This window comes from Homo sapiens, chromosome 15, assembly GCF_000001405.40.
Source record: "Homo sapiens chromosome 15, GRCh38.p14 Primary Assembly".
Lineage (NCBI taxonomy): Eukaryota > Metazoa > Chordata > Mammalia > Primates > Hominidae > Homo > Homo sapiens.
The window spans coordinates 78,131,949-78,149,310 of NC_000015.10; the positions used below are offsets into that span (position 1 = coordinate 78,131,949).

General features: G+C 46.1%; 1 long non-coding RNA gene across 1 annotated transcript; it reads right to left on the bottom strand.

Moving 5' to 3' along the window:
• Nucleotides 11,331-17,271, bottom strand: LOC124903534 (uncharacterized). Its single transcript, XR_007064725.1, has 2 exons — nucleotides 17,160-17,271; nucleotides 11,331-15,784 (listed from the first exon to the last, which is right to left on the bottom strand). It is a non-coding gene; the product is annotated as an uncharacterized LOC124903534 (long non-coding RNA).

Consider the following 17,362-nt stretch of genomic DNA (forward strand, 5'->3'; position numbering starts at 1 on the left):
GCATCTCAGACCTTCTGTGTTCCTTAGGGAGCAGGACAGGATTTACTTGGCTTGGTTACAAACGTGAGACTTGAGAGGATTTAAAGGACTTGACTGTGTCCACAGAAGTGTGACAAAGGCCAAGACATTTTTTGGAGCTTTTAAGCAGATGCCATTGTAAGGGAAGCAGGACTTTACCTCTGCCCTCCTAGGGTCTTTGGCTGGGCTTGAGAATTAATTTGGCATAAGACAGATTAAGGGGAGAAAAACAGATTTAATACAAGTTTTACATGACGTGGAAGCCCTCATAAGGAAATGAAGACCCTGAGAACTGGCAAAATCTAAATACTTTTTTTTTTTTTTGAGATGGAGTCTCCCTCTGTCGCCCAGGCTGGAGTGCAGTAGCGCGATCTTGGCTCGCTACAACCTCCGCCTCCTGGGTTCAAGCGATTCTTCTGCCTCAGCCTCCCCTAGTAGGTGGGACTACAGGGGCATGCCACCACACCCAGCTAATTTTTTTTTGTATTTTTAGTAGAGAGAGGTTTCACCATGTTGGCTGGGCTGGTCTCGAAATCTTGACCTCAGGTGATCCACCTGCCTCAGCCTCCCGAAGTGCTAGGATTAGAGGCCTGAGTCACCACGCCCGGCCAATTATTGTATTTTTTTTGTAGAGATGGGGTTTTGCCGTGTTGCCCAGGCTGGTTTTGAATTCCCAGGCTCGAGCAATCCACCCACTTTGGCTTCTCACCCAAAGTGCTGGGATTATAGGATGTGAGCCATCATGCCCGGCCTCATCTCCTGTTTTTTAGAAAAAGAAGGATGATCAAGAGTGCCCTTCTTGCATCTGCTATTTTTCAAGTGCCTTTAACTCAAATACTCAATATGCCAGAGCAGCATATGTTGTGGTGGCATGTTCTGAACTCCTTCCCCATCCACCAAATGGAGTCACCGCTATCTTTTTGGGGTCCAGCCCATACAACTGTTATTTCTAAACTCAGGACAACTGAATCAGTAGGTATTATCTCCATATTATAGGCAAAGAGTTGGGCTGAGAGAGGTTCAGTAACTTGCCCAGGGTCCCACAGCTGGGAATTAGTAGAACCTGGACTGGACCCAGGCACTGGCTCAACATACCATTCCACAACTGCCAGTGGACTTTGAAGAGATCAGGATTTTTTTTTATTTATATATATAAAAAAAAATAGAGATGGAGTCTCACTATGTTGTCCAGGCTGGTCTCCAACTCCCAGGTTCAAGTGATCCTTCTGCCTTGGCCTCCCAAAGTACTAGGATTACAGGCGTGAGCCACCATGCCTGGGCGAGATCAAGACTTTATGCTTTAAAATGCGTGGTTTGTTACTTTAGGATAGTGGTTCTGAAACCACCTGGGAGCATGTATCAAAATTACTTGGGAGGCTGCACCCCTAGATTTTCTGATTTAGAAGGTCTGGGGTGGCTAAGAATGTGGGTATCGAAAGGGTTCCTGGGTGACACTGATGCAGCTGGTCTTGGAACCATACTTTGAGAGTGCTTAGGCTGCTGAAGCTTGTGGGTTCTGATGGGAACAGGGCTTCAAGTTTGGCAGATGATCCCTCATGCTTTTAGTTTTCTTTTATATCTGAGGCTACTGGTTGGGGTTTTCCAACCTTATTTTGCCACTCCCTGGTGAGAACAGCAGCCATCAGCTAAACAGACATGTCACCCTGTTAAAATCACAAGAGTCTTCAGAGGCACCATCAATTGCTATCAGAGGGGTAAGAAGCAATTCATTAGCCTGGGGATTGGTGACCAGCCTTCAGGGGTCACCTCACCATCTTTTCATCATTGTGGACACATGCAATAGGGGCCTAACCCATGGGAAAGAAGGCAGGATGTGTCCCCAGAGATTTGGAGCATGTGGAATTTTAGAGCAGAGAAGGCACATTTAAAAGATTCTCTCTTCTGTACCTCCCCTTTTTCCTGTGTTGGAGTTGGGGAAAAGGAAACCCTTTTGAAACCACATAACCACTATTACACAAGTTTTCCTTCTTCCCATCTTATTAGATTCCACACTGTGCATGAACAAGCCAGAATTCTGTGTGTTCAGATCCTGCTCTGGCGCATTCTTGTACAATTGCTAACATGCTGCTTATTTGCATACCAGGTGTTCCAGGTAGAAAATCTGGAACCTATACAAAGAGGACTGTGTTTTCAGTCCCGGGAGCCCTTCCTCTCATAGGAGAGAAATAGAGGTAACCAACTGAACTAGAAAATTCCTCTCAAAAATCCTTTTAGGCCAGGTGCGGTGGCTCACACCTGTAATCCCAACACTTTGGGAGGCCGACACAGACGGATCACCTGAGGTCAGGAGTTTGAGACCAGCCTGGTCAACATGGCGAAACCCTGTCTCTGCTAAAAATACAAAAAATTGGCCTGGCGTGGTGGCGTGCCTGTAGTCCCAGCTACTCAGGAGGCTGAGGCAGGAGGATCACTTGAACCCGAGAGGCAGAGGTTGCTGTGAGCCAAGATCGTGCCATTGCACTCCAGCCGGGGCGACAAGAGCGAAACTCCATCTCAAAAAAAAAAAAAAATCTTTTTGGATCATTATTACCATGGCCTATCTGAAGCTCTCTCTCTTGAGCAATGCTGTGAGGAGGGGCAAGGAACACAATTCCCATGTTACAGATAAGAAACCTGGGGCTCAGAGAGGCCAAATGACTTGCCTGATGCCCCCCAGCTGGGAAGTGGCAAAGCAAAGCTCTAACGTCGTTCTCTGATTCCAAATCCTGTGCTTTAGCTGCTCCCTGATGTTGAGTGTGGTCCCTGAGGAGCAGAGTGTGTGTGTTTGCTGGGAGGGAGGATGGGCCGAGGGAGAAGAATAAAACATTACTGATTACTTATCTAGTGCCCAGAATTGTACTGGATGTGCTATATTTACTGAATTTGATTATTCCACAATAGCCTCCTCAGTCTGTGGAGTTTCATATTATTATCCCATTTCACAGGTGAAGAAATAGTTTCAGAGAAGGTGACTTGCCCAAGGTCACATAGCTGGTAACAGGTAGATTTAAATCTGGGCCCTGACTCTTTTCTTTTCTTTTTTCTTTTTTTTTTTTTTTTTTTTTGAGACAGTCTTACTCTGTCGCCCAGGGGCATGATCTCAGCTCACTGCAACCTCTGCCTCCCGGGTTTAAGTGATTCTTCTGCCTCAGCCTCCTGAGTAGCTGGGACTACAGGTGGGAGCCACCACACCCAGCTAATTTTTGTATTTTTAATAGAGACGGTGTTTCACCATGTTGGCCAGGCTGGTCTCGAACTCCTGACCTCCTCAGCCTCCCAAAGTTGGGATTACAGGCATGAGCCACCGTGCCCTGCCGGACTCTTCTCTTGATCACACAGTCTAGGACAGGGAAACGTGGTTACCAGTGTTTAAAGGGGGCTGACTCCTTGTCAATTGCAGTCTTGTAAATAATGTAAAAGGAAAAGGCAGCAGGGGTGCCAGATACTCATTAAATGTTAGCTTATTTTTTTTCATTTCTGATTCACACAATGAAGTTTATTTTAAAATTTGGAAGGAAAACAGGAATAAATGCTACCAAGTGCTTCTTTGGGATGAGAGGTCATCTTGACCTGCTGCCCAAGTGCTCGTTTGTGATGATGATGCACTTTGTGATCAAGATGACCTCTCATCCCAGAGAAGCCTTGTAGCATTTACTGCAGAACAACTCAATCTGCAAGTTGTTCTTCTAAGACTTAGAATCTAGATAGATCTTTTTGTTTGTTTGTTTTTGTTTTGTTTTGTTTTTTTGAGACGGAGTCTCGCTCTGTCGCCCAGGCTGGAGTGCAGTGGCGCGATCTTGGCTCACTGCAAGCTCCGCCTCCTGGGTTCCTGCCATTCTCCTGCCTCAGCCTCTTAAGTAGCTGGGACTGCAGGCGCCTGCCACCATGCCCAGCTATTTTTTTGTATTTTTAGTAGAGACGGGGTTTCACTGTGTTAGCCAGGATGGTCTTGATCTCCTGACCCTGTGATCCGCCCGTCTCAGCCTGAATCTAGGTAGATCTTAATGACAGAGATGGAAGATCCCTGGGCCCAAGGTCTGGGTGGGACCATCTCTTAAAGTAAACGAAGCCTGCAGCCTGTCTTCTAGCAGCTCTGTGGGCCCTGTGAGTCATTCCCCAGTCCTCCACTCAAATCCTTTACTATCCCACCTCTACTTTTTATCAGCTCAGGACCCCACCTGCTATCTTGGCTCATGGGAATCTTCTCTATCTTAGGGGCAATTCAAATCTTACTCTTATCTTTACCTATAAAGCATTGTCATCTTGGCGTCTTCCCTGACATGGCTGTGATTTATAGTGTGTGAGCAGTTACTAGGTCTGCCTCAGTCTCTCTCTCTTTCTCTCTCTCTCCCTCTCTCTCTCACACACACATACCCTGCAACCCCTTGTTTAACCTGGCCTATATCCTAGCACTGAACAGCTTGTCTCTGTTTCTCTAGCATTTTGCACATAGTAGGTTCTTAATGAGTATTTGGTGGATAAATAAATACACACCCTGGGACTGTTTTTTTTTTTGTCCTGAGGAGGGTTATTTTTCCCTCTCAAACACTAAGAAACAGGAGGGCTGGGACCAGGGCTGGGACCACATGTTCGTCTGTATCCCCAGACACAGAGGAATCTCCCAGGGTCTAGCACATGGTCTTAGCAAATGTAAAATCAACACCCTTTAAAAGAGTACATTTTCCTGGACCTGTTCATACATTTAATCAACTAGATCCCCAAATATTCTGACTTGAAAAAGATTTTCTTACTGGAGGATTTAGTGACCAGTCGTTTAGCGCAGAGCCAACAGAATGAAACCCCTTTCTCTCTTCCGGGAGACTGACCTGCCCTAGAGCCTTCCCCAGAAGCTACTCTGGATGTGAGAAGTTACTGGATGGCTCAAATGGGACCCCAGCTGGATGGCGACTGTCCTGTTGTTGAGGGAGGAGGGGGTCAATTTCCTCCACAAATCTGCTTCTTCTGGATCGTGTCCCACCCACCTCTTGGATGCCTTTGACATCTTTGGAGGCACCCTTGATTTCTCTCCTTCCCTCAGACCCCTCAGTCCATTAGCACAGCCAGTCATATCTAGAAGCCAGCCACTTCTTAGCACTCCATTGCTATCACTGTGGTCCACGCCCCCCTCACCTCTCTCCTGTTATGGCCGTATCTATCATGAAATGACCTAAACCAATTCATCCACAACTAGGTTCATTTTACTGCAGATCTCAGTAATCTCCAGTAATGAGTGGTAGGTAGGGGTGTTGTGTTTCCTTCCACAAACCTTGCTATGAGGGGGTCTGAGGCAAGCAAGTCTCAGACTGAAGTCCACACCTTGTACCATCACTTATCAGCAAGCAGGTCCCCAACAGTCATATAACCTTCTCTATGAGCTCAATGAAGGCCTAGCTCCCTGACCTTTTGCATATTTCAATAAACTTTCCTCTTGAAAGATTTAGTTCAGGCTGGGTGCAGTGCTCATGCCTATAATCCCAGTACCTTGGGAGGCTGAGGCAGGAGGATCACTTGAGCTCAGGAGTTTGAGACCAGCCTGGGCAACATAGTGAGAACCCCATCTCTAAAAAAAATACAAAAAATAGCTGGACGTGGTGGCACACGCCTGTAGTCCCAACTACTCAGGAGGCTGAGGTGGGAAGATCACTTGAGCCTGAGGGGTTGAGGCCGCAGTGAGCTGAGATTGCACCACTGCACTCCAGCCTGAGCAACAGAGTGAGACTCTGTCTCAGAAAATAGGGGGGAGGGATTTCATTCAAGGAAGTTGCAAACAATATTTAAGGAGCAAGATTTGAACAACCTTCAATTTGGGATCAGGCAACTGCATTCTTACTCAGAAGCTTGAACCTGACCAGACGGACTCCTAAGACCTAGACCCCATCAAAACTCCCTAGGTTTTTGTGTCCTGTCTGTCTGTGTAAGGGCAGAGGTACTTGGACAACCCTTCACATATCTAAAATACCACTCATTTGATCAATGGACAATTATTTCAGCCATCCATTTTGCTAATGAACAGACCCTCTGCTGCTGGAATGGCATCAAGACAGCTGAAGCCCTTGTGGAAGGGTCTCTGGAGTGTGGGCTTCTGGGTAAAGTCCCAACTGCTTCTAGAATGGCCTCTCTCAAAGTGTGATCGTGGGTCTCCTGGGGTCTCTGGGATCTTTTCAGAGAGTCTGCAAGGGCAACAATATCTCATAATAATACTGAGACATTATTTGCCTTTTTCATTCTCATTTTCTCACAAGTGTAGAGTGAAGATTTCCAGAAGTTATATGGGTATGTGATATTGCAACAGGTTGAATGAAGAAGCAAATGTGAGAATCCAGCAGTTTTCTATTTTGTTTTTGTTTTTTTGAGACAGAGTCTCGCTCTGTCACCCAGGCTGGAGTGCAGTGGTGTGATCTCTGCTCCCTGCAAGCTCTGCCTCCCGGGTTCATGCCATTCTCCTGCCTCAGACTCCCGCCCGGCTAATTTTTTTGTATTTTTAGTAGACACAGGGTTTCACCATGTTAGCCAGGATGGTCTCGATCTCCTGACCTCGTGATCCGCCTGCCTCAGCCTCCCAAAGTGCTGGGATTACAGGTGTGAGCCACTGTGCCCAGCCCGAGCAGTTTTCTATTAAGCCAAGCTCTAAAGACATTTGCAAGCATGTAAAACAATGCCACTCTTCTCAATAAATATTTTTGTCTTCAAATATATGATTATTTTTCATAAAAGTCTGTTAACTAAGCCAACATATAATGGTTTTGTCTTTGCAGTGGGTAGGAAGAACCCATCGGGTGATTACACTTGCCAAGCTTTCAGTATCAGAGAGGAAGGTGGGGGTGTCCGTAGGGTGAAAATAGCACCCCAAATGTCTTAGATCCTCATACTTTTTTTTTGAGATGGAGTCTCACTCTGCCACCCAGGCTGGAGTGTAGTGATGTAATCTCGGCTCACTGCAACCTTGGCCTCTCAGGTTCAAGCAATTCTTATGCCTCAGCCTCCTGAGTAGCTAGGACTACAGGCGCCCACCACCATGCCCAGCTAATTTTTTTTTTTTTTTGTATTTTTTTTGTATTTTTTTTTTTTGTAGAGCTAGGGTTTCACCATGTTGGCCAAGCTGGTCTTGAACTCCTTACCTCAGGTGATCCGCCCACCTCGGCCTCCCAAAGTGCTGGGATTACAGGCGTGAGCCACCGCAACTGGCCAGATCCTCATACTTTTTAAGAACAGGCTGCTTTCATCATCAAGAGGAGCTCTTCATCACACTTAAGGTGGTTCTGCAAGACCTCTGGGAGAATCCCAGTGAGCTGGGGTCCCTGTGTCTGTAGAGGCCTGGCATCATGGTTTACACAAAAGGAACAAAAGAAACTACCTGGGAATCCCTTAACCCTTCCCAAGCTCTATCAACTCAGGTCACATTGATGTCTCTGAAGCATCTTGTCATAATATGAACTGTCTTCCAGAGCTATCTTTGTGGCTCTCCCAGGCTACTATGGGTTCCTCAGAGGCAGGCCCTGAATGATTAGATGTTCATTTCTGTGTTTGGAGGATTGTTGGGAAGTTTGTGTAGGGAGGGTTCTCATTTAATCAGTTTCCCTGCATCTTCTGATCTGATCAGCCCAGGAGAATGGGAGCTTCAGCAGGTCTGTGTGACCGCAACCATTCTTGTGTTGCTATAAAGAAATACCTGAGACTGGGTAATTTATAAAGAGGTTTAATTGGTTCATGGTTCTGCAGGCTGTGCAGGAAACATGGCTTCTGATGAGGCCTCAGGAAGCTTTTATTCTCGGCAGAAGGTGAAACAGCAGCTTGCGTAACACAGGTGGAAAGCAGGAGCAAGGGGGAGGTGCCATACACTTTTAAATGACCAGATCGCACTATAACTCACTATCACAAAGACAGCACCAAGCCATGGGGGACCTGGCCCCAAACACCTTCCACCAGGCCCCACCTCTAGCATTGGGGATTACACTTCAACATGAGATTTGGGCGGGGACAAATATCCAAAGTATATCAAAGTCTTTTGTCATTCTATTAGCTTCAGCTTACTCAAACATCTTTAAAGATGTTATAAGGTGTCACATTAATCAGAGAGTCTTCTGAATTCTCCGTGGGAGTGTTAATAACTCCATTTTACAGGTGAGAGAATGGAAGGTCAAATTCACACATCTGGAGAGTGTCAATGTGAGAACTGGGACCCAGGTTTGCCTGGAGGATCTTCCACTATTGCCCTGGCACCTATACTGAGAATAAATGTTGTCCCTTTGAAAGGGGCAGCTAGTTCCTTTGTTCACCCCAGAGACTATGAGAATAGGCTTTCAAGTATTTACTCCATTAACCTTGCAGCCCAAGGCTCAGCTACTCCAGGAAGAGAGAGGGACTGGGAGTCAGTATCTGCTTTGAGGGAAGTTTTATCACTTTTTATAGCAACCTCTGAACTTGACCCATGGACTTAGGCAGATAGAGCAAAGCCAGTCCCTGCAGTATAAACAGATGGGAGATAAGTCAGGTCAATTTGATTTGATCAACACCCCTGATTGCATTTATTTCCTTATTTCTAGGCTGGCTCCAGAGATGCTATCCCCAAATGGGCCTCTGGAGGACAAATCTTTTGGTGAACATTCATTAAGCAAAATAATGCACTTATGAGTAAAGCACATGGTGACTTGGATGGTGTGCCATTACCTCCCCAGGACAGAGTCCAAACTGCTTGCCATGATAGGTGCATGTGGTCTGGATCCTGCCTTTCCCCACTTCTTCCCACCTGGCCCTTTGTTCCTGGTATCCTTTCTGCCTGGCACTCCTTTTCCTTCCCTTCTTTCTGTTTGGAAAATTGGCCTCCCTTAAGTCTTGTCTGCTTGTAACAATCTCTGCTTTAACCCCCATGACACTCTCATCTCCCCTAGTTCTTGAGGTACCCCAGGCTTAGAGGACCCACAGACCCTGGAATCCATATTACAGCATTTGTTTCAGTGGATTGGGATCAACTGTTTGAATATTTACCCTCTAGATCAGTGTTCGTATGGGAGGGATACTGCTCCCTAAGGAATGTTTTGAGCTGTATGGGTGTTTTGTGGATGCAATGACAAGAGGGTACTATTTCCACTTAGTGCCTGGGTTTTGGGGATGCTGATGTTCTGTAATGCCGGGACAATCCTGCCCACTGGAGAATGTCTCATGTCCTGCAGGACCTTGAGGAGATCAACCAGATACTCCTGTAGGAAACAAACCTGTTTATAATGACCTGAGCTTGGAACCCAACTCTGTTTTATAAATAAACTCCTTTTTGTGTGATCTTAACATATGTTCAGTTATCCAGGAATGCAAATCAAGGGAAGACTAAAATTTACTTTGTTCAAAACTTTAACAAGACTCGATCACCATTTTGGAGGTAACATCGGAGATGGCAACGTGACTTGTGATTGAGAAAGAAGAAATTAACCCAGATGCCTGTGGCAACTAAGAATTTTGCTTGATGTGGCCTGGTGCAGCAGCTCATGCCTGTAATCCCAACACTTTAGGAGGCTGAGGCGGGAGGATTGCTTGAGCCCAGGAGTTCCAGACTAGCCTGAGCAACATAGCAAGACCCTATCTCTACAAAAAATTAAAAAGTTAGCTGGGAGTGGTGGCTCATGACTGCATTCCCAGCTACTTGGGAGGCTGAAGTAGGAGGATTGCTTGACCCTGTCTCAAAAAAAAGAAAGAAAAAGAATTTTGCTTGACCCCATACAACACACCTGTATTCATCTGCATTTGTGAACGTCACCATCACTGTGATTCATGGTCTATTAACATCTACTTTTTTAGCTCTTATTTTTAAATGTCAAAGATAAAAACTGTGGCCTGAATATTATCATACCTCTCTCAAATCCAAACTTACTTGTTATAAGTAGGTGCAAGCATGTGACTGCTTCATAATGTCTTTTAGAGTTTAGGCCTGAGCATTTATGTATTGAAACCCATTATTTTATTACAGTATTCCTTTTATTTCTCTTTCATATTACAGTAGCAGCATTATATTGATTTTGTTTTTTCATTATGTGTATAAGTGGTTTAGATTATCCATGAATTTCGTTTCAGTATGGTAAAGAGGATATTCAAAATATTTGTTATAAAAAGGGAGCATCTGGCAGCATTGAGAACCACTCTAAGGTTCAGGAGGCAGGGACTTCGCCTCCCCTGGGTTACTCCATTCTTCTTTGTGCCTAGCATAGGGCCTGGAATATCACAGATGCACAAAGAATCTTTTCTGAATGAGTGATGAAGGAATTGAGGCTGATACTCTGGTTTGGTAACCACCTAGGTATGTGATGAGGCCCTCTGCTGAGATGGGAACACAGGAGAGAGGGCAGGTTTTGGGGAGAGTAATGAGTTCAGTTTTCATTGTGAAAGTTTGGAGAGCCCTGGAATTTCTAGGTGGAGAGGCCTGAGGCCCAGGGCTGTGTGGGCCTTGATTTCTCTCAAGGCCACAGAAGAGTGGAAAGTGCAAAGTCGTAGTAACAGTTCATCTCTTTAGTCAGTAATCATTGCTGAGTCTCTCCATGCAGGATGAATAGACCAGTGAGAGCTGCCCATGAGGTGTCTCCCTCCTCCTGTGGTGATCTGTGTACCTGCCCAGGCCCTCAGAGGCTAGGAGCTCCTCCAAGGTAGGGGATAGAAATCCTTCATCTCTAGCCCCTCTGACTTCCTGCCCCATCCTGACATAGTAGGTGGCTCGGCAATGATAGCTGGAGGGACCACGCAGTAAAACCCATCTGTGGAAACACATGTATTCAGAGCAACTTTTTTTGGCCTGAAGTCACTGCAGTGGAACATTTGGGAGCAAGTTTCCCCAGGGCCCAGCTCCTTCCCGCTAGGCTCTGCCATGCCTCCTGTTTATTAACAGGGAGGCGTGACAAAGGGAAAAATCTCCTGATTGAAGACTCATCTCAGACATCTTTTCACTCCTCTAGGGAAGGGTGCAATTCTGGGCTTTAATGACATATGACGGGGCAGGCAGTAGAGGTGTTGCGCATTTTAGGCAATACATGTGCTGCTAGAAAGTTGAGGTATAGGGACTTTTTAGGAACACAATTTTTATTGACAAGTAACCTTTCAAGAACAATAAAGAAAATCAGAAAGAAAACCTATGTTCATAGCAGCATCATTCATAATAGCGAAAACAACTCAAATGGCCATCAACTGACGAACGTATGAATAAAATGTGGTCTATTCATGTGATGGAATATAACTTGACCGTCATGAGGAATGAAGGACTGATGCATGCTATGATATGGATAAGTCTTGAAAACATCATGCTAAATGAAAGAAGCCAGACACAAGAGACCAGATATTTTATGACTCCGTTTATATGAAATGCCCAGAGTAGGTGAATACATTGGGATGTAAAAGAGATTGGTGGTTGCCAGGGTCTGGGAGAGGGGAGATGGGGAGTGGCTGATGGAACAAGCCATATGGAAAAGCATTCCAGGCATTGGGAGCAGTAAGTGCAAAGGCCCTGCAGTGGGAGGAAGCATGGCCGATTAAAGAACAGCAAGGAGGTAGGTCGGCTTCAAGGGAGACAGTGGTGGGGGAGAAGCTCAGAGAGGGGCTAGCAGGACTAGACCCTTTAGGGCTTTATGGGGCACTGCCAGGGCATTGCCTTTTACTTGGAGAGAGACAGGATGTCGCTGGCAGCTTTGGGCAGAGAAGGATGTATCTGTCTTATGTTTGAACACAATCCCTCTGGCAGGAGATGGATTTTAAGGGGTAGAAGTAGGGAAGCCAGTTTGGGGGCCACTGTGTTGGTTCAGGCAAGAGGTAACTCTGACTTGGACCCTGGTGGCAGCAGCTGCCAAGGGGAAAAGTGTCCAAAACTGAACCTATTTTGAAAACAGCTCATCTTCAGGCTTTTGGCCTCAGCAACTAGAAGGCTGGAGTTGAATTTTATTGGGTGGGGGAATTCTGTGGGAGGGAGCAGGTTTCCTTCTACTCTTTGTTCACATATAAAAAGAAGTTATAAGAGAACATAGATAATAGTTTAAATTTTTATTTTTTTCTGAACATTCAACCATAAACATTTATCAAGATGCTAAAGTCTTCATAATACTCACTTTAAAAATGTTTTTTTTGGCCAGGCGCGGTCGCTCATGCCTGTAATCCCAGCACTTGGGAGGCCGAGGCAGGCGGATCACGAGGTCAGGAGATCAAGACCACCCTGGCTAACATGGTGAAACCCTGTCTCTACTAAAAATACAAAAAATTAGCTGAGCATGGTGGCGGGCGCCTGTAGTTCCAGCTACTTGGGAGGCTGAGGCAGGAGAATGGCATGAACGCAGGAGAATGGCGTGAACCCAGGAGGCGGAGCTTGCAGTGAGCCAAGACAGCGCCACTGCACTCCAGCCTGGGCGACAGAGCCAGACTCCATCTCAAAAAAAAAAATTATTTTTTAATTTTATTTTTAGAGATAAGGTCTTCCTCTGTCATCCAGGCTGGAGTGCAGTGGTGCAATCATGGCTCACTGTAGCCTCTAACTCCTGGGCTCAAGTGAGCCTTCCACCTCAGCCTCCCAAGTGGCTGGGACTACAGGTACATGCCACCATGCCTGGCTAAATTTTTATATTTTGTAGAGACTATGTCTTGCTATGTTGCCCAGGCTGGTCTTCAACTCCTGGCCTCAAGTGATCACCTCGGCCTCCCAAAGTGCTGGGATTGCAGATGTGAACCACCATGCCAGGCCATTGATCACTTTTGAAGGCTGCATGATGGTCCACTTCATTCATTTCCCCTAAATTACATAACCATTTCTTCTGTTAATCATTTAGACTGCTTTTTTCTCTTTTTAGTTTTCAAAATTAAGGATAATTGTATAATGAATATCTTTGTGTTGATGGCTTTTTCTTTCTGGATTTTTTTCCCCAAGAGTTTAATTCTCAGGAATGGATTTACTAGGTGAAAGAGTAAGAACAGTTAATGTCTCTCTTAAGACACATTGCTAAACTGTTTTCCAAAGAGATTGTGGAAATGTATAAGGCCAGCCAAGCAGTGCGCCATAAATTGGATGGTATAAGGCATTGCATTTTATTAATATTTTTAAATAAAAATAATTTTTTTTAGAAATTTGCATGCATTTGACTATTGTTAAGATTGAACATTTATTTAAAAGTTTATTTGGCTGTGAATTGATTATTCAGGTCCTTTTCCCGTTTTGTTTTGTTTTTTTTTTTCCCGAGACGGAGTCTTACTCAGTCACCCAGGCTGGAGTGCAGTGGTGTGATCTCGCCTCACTGCAACTTCCACCTCCCAGGTTCAAGTGATTCTCCTGCCTCAGCCTCCCCAGTAGCTGGGACTACAGGTGTGCACCACCATGCCTCCCTAAGTTTTGTATTTTTAGTAGAGAGGGGGTTTTACTATGTTAACCAGGCTGGTCTTGACCTCCTGACCTTGTGATCTGCCCGCCTCGGCCTCCAAAAGTGCTGGGATTACAGGAATGAGCCACCATGCCCGGCCTATGTTTTTTGTTTTGTTTTGTTTGAGACAGAGTCTTACTCTGTCGCCCAGGCTGGAGTGCAGTGGCACGATCTCGGCTCACTGCAACCTCGGCCTCCCAGGTTCAAGCAGTTCTCTGCCTCAGCCTCCTTTGTAGCTGGGATTACAGGTACCCGCCACCACGCCCAGCTAATTTTTTGTATTTTTAGTAGAGACAGGCTTTCACCATCTTGGCCAGGCTGGTCTTGAACTCCGGACCTCGTGATCCACCCACCTCTGCCTCCCAAAGTGCTGGGATTACAGGCGTGAGCCACCGCGCCCAGTCCCCTTTTCCCATTTATTTACTAAAGTCCTAATACCTTCTTTACCAATTTGTTGGATCTTTTCCTAACTTAGAGATAGGGATGAACCCTTTGCCAATCATATCTTTAATGAAAATAATATTTTAAATAAAGTAGGAAAACTGTTGAAATGAATTTCTTTTGTAACAAAAAATAAACATTTGGTATGTGAATAATGTATATTCTGTTTTGCTGATTTATTCACTTAAAAATTGCTATCTTGATTTTATTATTTATTTATTTGACACAGAGTCTCGCTCTGTCACCCAGGTTGGAGTGCAGTGGTGCGATCTTGGATCACTGCAATCTCCGCCTCCCAGGTTCAAGTGATTCTCCTGCCTCAGCGTCCTGAGTAGCTGGGACTACAGATGCACACCACCACCCCTGGCTAATTTTTGTTACTTTTAGGAGAGATGGGGTTTCACCATATTGGCCAGGCTGGTCTCAAACTCCTGACCTCAGGCGATCCACCCACCTCTGCCTCCCAAAGTGCTGCGATTACAGGAGTGAGCCACCGCACCTGGCCTCTTGATTTTAAAATCTTTTTTTTTTTCCTTAGAGTGAAGCACACCTGGATTGGATAGTGCTTGTTATTACAGATAAGGGTGCACTTTCTAGATTCTTCTCCTGAGTGGCAAAGTTTTCCCACCGTCTTGTCCAAACATACTTTGCTGATGGTATCTCTGGGCACTACACAGTGCAAGGGACAAGGAAAAAGGGCTTTTCCAGAGGAGAGTGACCTGCATCTTGGAGGAACTCTAGAACATGTTCGAGGAATGGTGACTGGGGCTTCTGGAGCCAAGGGCTGACTCAGGGAACAGATCTCAGCTCAAGGTGAGGTCATTTCTGTTTCCTGCATGTCCCTCCAGCTGCTGACATTTTACCTCTTCAAGGACTGATTCAAATGCCATCTCCATTGTGCAATCTTCCTTGATCACCCCCCAACTTCCATCTGAGACTTCTGAGTTTCTCCCTCACTAGATCTGGAGGGTAGGAGTGGGTCTTGTTCATTTTTTGTTCTCACAGTGCACTTGCTAGAGAATGGCTTGGGAAGCCTTTGTAGGATTGGACTGGCCCTCAGCGAAAGTTCAGCAGTTAGGAGAACTGCCTTAGTACTTAGGAAGCTTCCTAGTGTGAATGCCAGCATCATCACTTACTAGCTGTACTTCAGTTTTCTCATAGGGTTGTTGTGAAGATTAAATGAAGACTGGACAAAGTCAGTCAATGTTTATTTCACAATCACTGAGCAGCAAGTATTCCTTGTGTACCAGTCTCTGTTCCAGAAACAACGTCATAAGAGATCATCAAGATTATCTCTGGACTTAAGGCATATCTTCTCTCTATCTCTTTTGAGACAGAGTCTCGCTCTGTCACCCAGACTGGAGTGCAGTGGCATGATCTCGGCTCACTGCAACCTCTGCCTCGTGGGTTCAAGCGATTCTGATGCCTCAGTCTCCTGAGTCACTGGGATTATAGGCATGTGCCAACACGCCCAACTAATTTTTGTATTTTTAGTAGAGACAGGGTTTTGCCATGTTGGCCAGGCTGGTCTCCAACTCCTGACTTCAAGTGATCCACCTGCGTCGGCCACCCAAAGTGTTGGGATTACAGGCGTGAGTCACCACGCCTGGCCCAAAGCTTATCTTCTCAATGGCACACAGCAGAAGAGAATGTGATGTTTCCCAGGAGAGGTGGGAGCCAAGTGCTAGAGGGCTCTGAGTAAGGAGAGGGGGACACATTCGTGGGTCTTGGGGGCTTTTACAACTTTTACTACTTCCCAACATGTAAGCTGAGTCTTGACAAGGAGCTAGAATTTCAGCCAGTAGAAGTGGGGCAAGAGGGCATTGAGGCTGAGGGAATGGCACGACCATAGGCACGGAGAGGTAAAATATGGGAAGCATTTGGGGGCTGGCCAGCAGTCCTAGTTGGCAGGCGCTCCAGGTCTTTGGGGCTGGAAGGAGTGGTGGGAAATCAGGCTGAAAAAAGACAGTGGTGTGAGAGGAGAGTGCAAGGGAGAGCCAGGAGGTTTCAGAGCCGGGGCGAGCCCTGGTCAGAGCTGTGCCTGAAGGGGAGGGCAGGTTGGCAGGTGAAGAGGCTGTTGTAAGAGCCTGGGCCTGAGGTGGTCTGGCCCGAAGGAGGGCAGGGGTGACATTGGGGATGGAGGAACTGTGGGAGAACACTTCAGGATGGGACTGCCAGGGCCTGATGAGGGGAAGGGGCCCAATGGAAAGGGGTTGATAAAAGCCCTCCTTCCTGACAAGGCCACAGACTTAGCTGCAGTTTATTATTTAGGTCATAAAAGCTCTTGGGATCACTTCTCTACTGCACTCATCACCTCTCTGGGTGGGTAGGCAGCTCCTCTCTGGATAGAACTCTTCCCAGGGTAGGGTAGCAGAGACCTGGTTTAAACACCTGACCTCCCCTGGCACCCAGCTAGAGGCCTGGCCATCAGCAGGAACTCAGGAGTTTGTGATGGACAGGGAGAGGACAAGGGGAAAGGTGAGTATGGATGTTATTTCTTCAGAGAAGCATTCCCTGACCTCCAGGTTAGGTTTGAATCAGGTTGCCTGATTTTGCCTTGCCATAGCTCCTTGCTCTTTTGCTTCTTGGCGCAACAGTTTTAATGACATGTGTGTGACACTTGATTGAAGCCTGTCTTTCCTACTGGACACTAAGCCCCAGCACTTAAAACAGTGCCTGGTGTCTAGTTGACCCTCAGAAATATTTGTTGAGCTAAATAGACAGATTAGTAGTTGCCTGGGATTGAGGACAGGAGCGGGATTGACTATAAACGGACACAAGGAACATTTTCATATGCTCAAAAACTGGATTGTGGTGATGGTTGTGCAACTGTTTACATTTACTAAAAATCATCAAACTGTACACTTACAGTGAGTAAATGTTACTATATATACATTATACCTCAATAAAGCTGGTAAAAAATAAAATTCGGCCAGTCGCAGTGGCTCACTTTGTGAGCCTGGGGCAAGCAGATCGCTTGAACTCTGGAGTTCCAGACCAGCCTGAGCAACATAGCGAGGCCCCATCTCTACGGAGAAAAAAAAAAAAAAAAAAAAAGAAAAAGAAAAGAAAAAACAAAGTTGGGCTGGGCTTAGTAATTACTTGATCCCAGGAGGTCGAGGCTTTGTAGTGAACCTGTTCGCGCTACTGCACTCCAGCCTGGGCGACAGAGTGAGACCCGGTCTCAAAAAAAAAAAAAAAATCAAAATTTGTGGAATAAGAAAATTATGTGTCTTTCTCCACGGGATTGTAAATTCTATGAGGAGCGCTATATCCCCAAGATCCTAGAACATTAATCAGCACCTAGTAGGTGTGGAACAAACGTCTTACCTTAACAGCGAGTCAATGAACCAGGGAGGGGAGGAAGAAGCTTTCCCGGAGATGCCGGCCCCTCAGTTTCCGGGTTCGCCTGGCGCTCAGCCAGGCCAGTCACAGAGAGACGAGCCCGGCGATTCGCCAGCGGAATGTCCAGGGGCGGGGCAGCGAGCGAGCGCGAAGCAATCCTGAGGCGGTCTAGGGGGCGGGGCGTTCAG